This window comes from Homo sapiens, chromosome 4 (genome assembly GCF_000001405.40).
Source record: "Homo sapiens chromosome 4, GRCh38.p14 Primary Assembly".
NCBI lineage: Eukaryota > Metazoa > Chordata > Mammalia > Primates > Hominidae > Homo > Homo sapiens.
Genome location: NC_000004.12, coordinates 114,509,435 through 114,515,162, shown reverse-complemented (window position 1 = coordinate 114,515,162; position 5,728 = coordinate 114,509,435). Strand labels below are relative to the sequence as shown.

The 5,728-nt window shown below is 34.8% G+C and overlaps 1 annotated feature.

The window, feature by feature from the left end:
* Positions 1,386 to 1,631: a silencer, noted in NCBI's record as "fragment chr4:115434688-115434933 (GRCh37/hg19 assembly coordinates)". NCBI's record gives its function as "represses an EF-1alpha promoter that drives an FKBP-Casp9 reporter gene in an ReSE screen in K562 erythroleukemia cells {active_cell/tissue: K562}" and the evidence as "EXISTENCE:reporter gene assay evidence [ECO:0000049][PMID:32094911]".

Here is a 5,728-nt window from a genome sequence, read left to right as displayed (position 1 = left end):
TTTTGTGTGTTTTTAGTAGAGATGGGGTTTCACCATGTTAGCCAGGATGGTCTCAATCTCCTGACCTCGGCCTTGGGTGAGATTATAGGCGTGAGCCACCACGCTCGGCCCAGGAAGGCGTATCTTAAACAACCACATTGGGAGGGTAAGTTTTAACTAGGCCAAAGGTGATGTGGTACAACTAAGTTTCAAGCAACTTATGTCAGGTCTATAAATTGATGCCAAGGCAGCAACTATATTAAATAAATTTATGACAACAATAAACTAGGAGGCTTGCAAACAACAGAAATTTATTTCTCACAGTTCTGGTGGCTGGAAAGTCCAAGATCATGGTACCAGCAGATCTGTGTCTGGTAAGGGCTCAATTACTGGTTGATCGATGGTGCCTTCTCTCTGCACCCTCCAATGGTAAAAGGGGCAAGGCAGCTCACTATGTTCTCTTTCAGGAGGGCAATAATCTAATTTATTAGGGCTCTGCTCTAATGACCCAATCACCACCCAGTGGCTTCACCTCTTAATACCAACACATTGGTGAGTAGGTTTCAACATACGAATCTTGGTAGCCACAGACATCAATCTTTAGAAGAAGGTTGAGTCTGCAGTGAACCATAATAGCACCACTGTGCACCAGCCTAGAAGACATAGTGAGACCCTATCTCAAAACAAACAAAGAAACAAACAACACATTACATTTTAAAAATTTATTAGTTTAACAAATATCAAGTGTCAACTATATGTCAGATACTGGTAATGATTATGGAGAAAAAACATAAATAATCCTTATTTTATTCACCTCTTTACAATCCCAAAAGAAAAATACTGTTATCCCCAGGTTTGCACAAAGGAAAAAAATAAGAGGCTCAGGCATATTAAGAATTTATTTTAAATCACATAGCAATTGAGAGATCTCGGATTCAAATCCAAAATGTTTTGTCAAACACCAAAACCAATGTTCCTCCTTGTCTACCTGTAAAGCATAGAGTTTTACTACTCTAGAAGTTTAAATTAATTTTGCTGATTTTATAAGCAAAGTTAAAGTCTTATTTTTACTTTAGTTTTTGGATATCACAAAGTTAAAAATATTTTTCCTGTTTGTTTACTAATTATACTTCTTCATGAGACTATTGTCTGCTTATGTACTTTAGTAATTTGTTACTACTGTGATTTTGATAACTTTCATACTAACTTGTTTAATATATAGATCAAGATATAGACATAAATATTAGTTTTTTGTAATGTTCGATTAAAGTAAATGTACATTTTTATTGTTTTACACGTTGGTGATAAGAGTTAAAATTCAGAATAATTTAACATATTAGGCTGGGTGTGGTGGCTCATACCTGTAATCCTGGCACTTTGGGAGGCTGAGACAGGAGCATTGCTTGAGTCCAGAGGTTTGAGACCAACCCAAGCAACATAATAAGACATGATTTATATATACATAAATTTTTTTAATTAGCTGGGCATGGTGGTGCATGCCTGTAGTCATAGCTACTCAGGCGGCTGAGAAGGGAGGATCATTTGAGCCCAGGAGGTTGAGGCTGCAGTGAACTGTAATCATGCCACTGCACTCCAGCCTGGATGGCAGAGTAACACCCTGTCTGAAAGAAAATTAACACATTACATTTTTCTTTATATTCATTGATGTGAACAAATAGAGGGCATAAAAAATAGGAAAAATGACAAACTTTTCCTATTTGACTGTGTAACTATATTTATCAATTCATATAATGAGTTATAGGGCCTATTAATGCAGAAATCTTTATCAGTAATTGTTTGAAATGCAAACTAGTTTGTTATTAAAGAACATTTTAATTTGAAATAAATGTTTTGCATGGGACATTTTAGCTTTTCTAATTCCAACATTCAGAAACCATAATCCTTGCCCATATTTTCTGTTAATATTTTGCTTTTGTTATCACTAGTTGAATGTGCAGTTTCCCTAATAAATGTTGTTATATGACTCTGGGCTTCTTTTATCATTATCAGTTAGTTTTACCACTAGAATTTAGTCAATGGAGCTGTATTTACTTTTCTCAGTGAGTCATGTTTCCTTTATACACTTATTAACATGCTTTATATCATCACTTTCATTCTCATTCATGTCTCTTATTAATTGCCTGAAGGTCTTTTGATGACGAATAGAAACCTGTCATTGAAAAAAAATTCCAGAAATTAGCTTAACATTAGTTTCCAATCTACATAAAGGATATTAAGTACAAATGAACAAAATCTTATATAATGCTGCATTAATGATGAAAAACAATGTTAATGACTTCTGATATGATGACATAGATATGGTAATTTAAAGGCTATTTTTTTCTATTATTGCTGTGGCTACTAGCTGCTATTTACTGAACCCTTACTCAGTACTATACAGTGATGACTACTTTACCTTTATTTTGTCATTTAGAGTTCACAACTCTCTTATATAGATATAATTATTAAAATGGGAATTTTTACAGATTATGAAAGGGTTGGCCAGGCATGGTAGCTCACGCCTATAATCCCAACATTTTGGGAGGCTGAGGCGGGTAGATCACTTGAGCTCAGGAATTCAGGACCAGCCTGGGCATCATGACGAAATCTCATCACTTCCAAAAATACAAAAAATTAGCCAGGTGTGGTAGTGTGTGCCTGTGCTCCTAGCTACTTAGGAGGCTAGGTGAGAGGATTGCTTGGGTTGGAAGTTACAGTGAGCCAGGATCAGCCACTGCACCCCAGCCTGAGTGACAGGGTGAAACCCCAGCTCAAAAAAAAAGGGGAGAGGGTGGTTAACTATTTGATGCAGGTCATATAGTTAGTGAGTAGATACAGTGTGAATTTGAATTCAGTTTCACATTTATTTGAGCACAAAATGTTTAGTTTAAAAACATCCCTTTACAACTGCTGGGGCAGTTGTACTCCCTAGAACACAGTCTAAAAGTGTCACCTTAGGTGTTTCAGACTTAATCAGACTTGAGTTTGAGTCATTCAGATAAGGCTCATGAGACAAATATAAAGAAATTAAAATGCCATTTTTAATAGTGTATACTGATAAGTATAAATGCTAAAATATTCAGACACTTCAAGTCCTCCAACCAGTGCATTCTCTCTCTGTAAGCAAATTATAGAAAAAGTAACATTATGAACAGGGAATTTCTGCAGGCTGAAAGAAGAATCACAACAGAAATATTGTTTATTTGAGATGAATGTTTAAAAGCATCAGAACATAACATTTTTTCCCACAAAAGACAAATATCAGGCACTAGACTAGACATCTCAAGTCCTTGGCACAGGGATTCCTTCCCTTTGGATAGTTCTTGGAGGTGAATGGCTAAGGTCTTACTCTGACCATTTCTGTATAATTCTGTCACTTACAACCAAATTTCCTTTTATTGATACTCTATTTATTTAAACTTGTTAAACTTTCAATATATTGTAAAAGGCATAAGACAGATTTGTCTCTTTATTATTTTGTATATTTCCATTTTATGTCTATTTCCACCTCAGAGTGAGGTAGTAGCCTGAGATGATCCACATGGCTAACCCAACTATCAGATGCTACCTACAGCATAAGAAGTATTCATAAGCTTTGTGTGTTATAATGAATAAAAAAGTGAATTAATGGGCTTCTTTTTTTAATGCTCTGAAAATTCCTTCTTTTTTTATATGTGGAGGAAAAATCAAATGTAAATGTATTATTTGTAAAATTCTTTCTCTATAACTTTCCTTATCAATGTCATATAAAATCCTGATACCCAAGACCTGCCTACTACTTTCTTTGCATAGGACAATTTTATTTTGGTTTTGCTCCTTGAATAATAGAATAATTATTTGTTTTAATATGGAGAGGTCTCTGATTTCAATAAGACAATGTTTAGGATATATTTTTTGGCTTTATCTCCTAGTCAAAGTAAATATTTTGGCCTTATCTTTTGGTCAGAGCTATAATACAGAACTTACAGTTGCTAAACTTTGGCAGAGCAAAATCTCTTACTCATGTTTACCCACCCTGTCATAAATTTCAATGCTTTAAATTTCCCGGCTTATTGTACCCATTCATTTTACAAATCCTCCTACCACCACCAGTACCCACATCATCAATTAATAGCTTTTACCATCATTTGCAACCAGAGAACATTATCAAGAGTAAGAAAGACAGGCGGTGAAAATATTTATTTGGCTTTGATGCTGATTTTGTTTCTTTTAACTAGGTAGGTGGGAGTAAACCAAAGAGGTGGGTAGAAACACATGTGTCTCTAGGATAGCAGGGACATATGTTTATACCCTAAAGTGAATTTTCTTAGTTTAGCCATGCTGATAACTCCTATGCAGACACTTAGTTGTGATTTTGTTGGTTGGGAAAAAAAAAAAAGAAATTTATCAGGGAAAAGTCAGAACTGTGAGTTAGCAGGTTTTGACCTTTGGCTGCCTGGAAAAGAAGAGAAGAGAATATAAAGGGAATCAAAAGGGGAAATAGGAGAGGCACTCAGAAAGAGAAGATGGACACTAACAAAATAAACTTGGCAATTTAGCTAACTTGTAAAATTAATAGCTCTTGCACTATGGAAAACGCTTGAGAGCTTTTCAGAAGAGGTATGAAAATCAGCTAGTCTTGGTTCTTACCAAGGCCTCTTTCTCCAAGTTAGTCCAGATCATTTATTCTAATTTTTCCTGGTATCTTGCCAACCAGTTTTCATTCATGCCCTGTGAAGAGAAGCAGAAAGGAAAGGAAAGAAAAGAAGCACAGAGAAGAGAAAGAGATAGACTTGTGTTCCTACAACTGATTTCCTCCTTTTAAGGAGTCAGCAAGATATAATTTCCTGGGATTTCCCTATTAATAGAACACATTCCTCACGAATGTCCTACAGTTTTAATGATACTTCCACCACTGTCACTGATCACCTGGGTTTCCCATTTCACTGGACTTTTGAGCACCCACCCTCACCAAGCTTATTTGGCTTGTTCTTCCTTTCGCAGGAGTACCATTGCTATACCACATTCTCACTTGATCCCCTTTGGATGAAATGAAAGAAACAGCTGGTTTGACTGGTAAGTTTACTAAGGCAGGACAGTAGCAGTACTTTATAAATTTTAAAATGGCTATGAAACTGTTTCTGCTTATTTCATTTTGGTTAACTGAATAACTTTTATATTTTAGTATTCTACAATTTGTTCATTATTATGCATAAGTGTGTATACAAAATAATAGACAAATTATGGAGCAGGAAAATATAAAACTGTGTACTTTATGTGTTTGGCTGGCTGGCTGTGAAATTACTTTCTTTATGATTTCCGCCCTCCACCATTACTTTTTCAACCTAATCAAGGTAAGGCCATTAAAATATTCAAGCTCATTATTCAACTGTTTTTAGCTTTACAGATACTAATAATATTAACTCAGAAAATATAATCAAAACTAAGCAAACTTTTGTCAATTATATTCTAAACTAAAAAAATTAAACTTGCTGCTAATATATAACTTGTTAGGAGGTGATATCATATTGAGATCCAGATTTTCTAATAGAAAAAGATTACATTAAGATATGGATTCAAGTAAAGGTTAAAACTTTTTAATCAAAATCCTTAATATACTTACCCTCTCAATTTCTTCACACATCTTTTCAATAGTGCTATCTGGTGTTTTTAACTGAGTGGGCTGGAAATTTTACTAGTAAAGATTTTGTGTTCCTTGATACAAACTATTGTTGAGTGTCCTTGAAGGTTTTGAGACCAGCTAGTATTT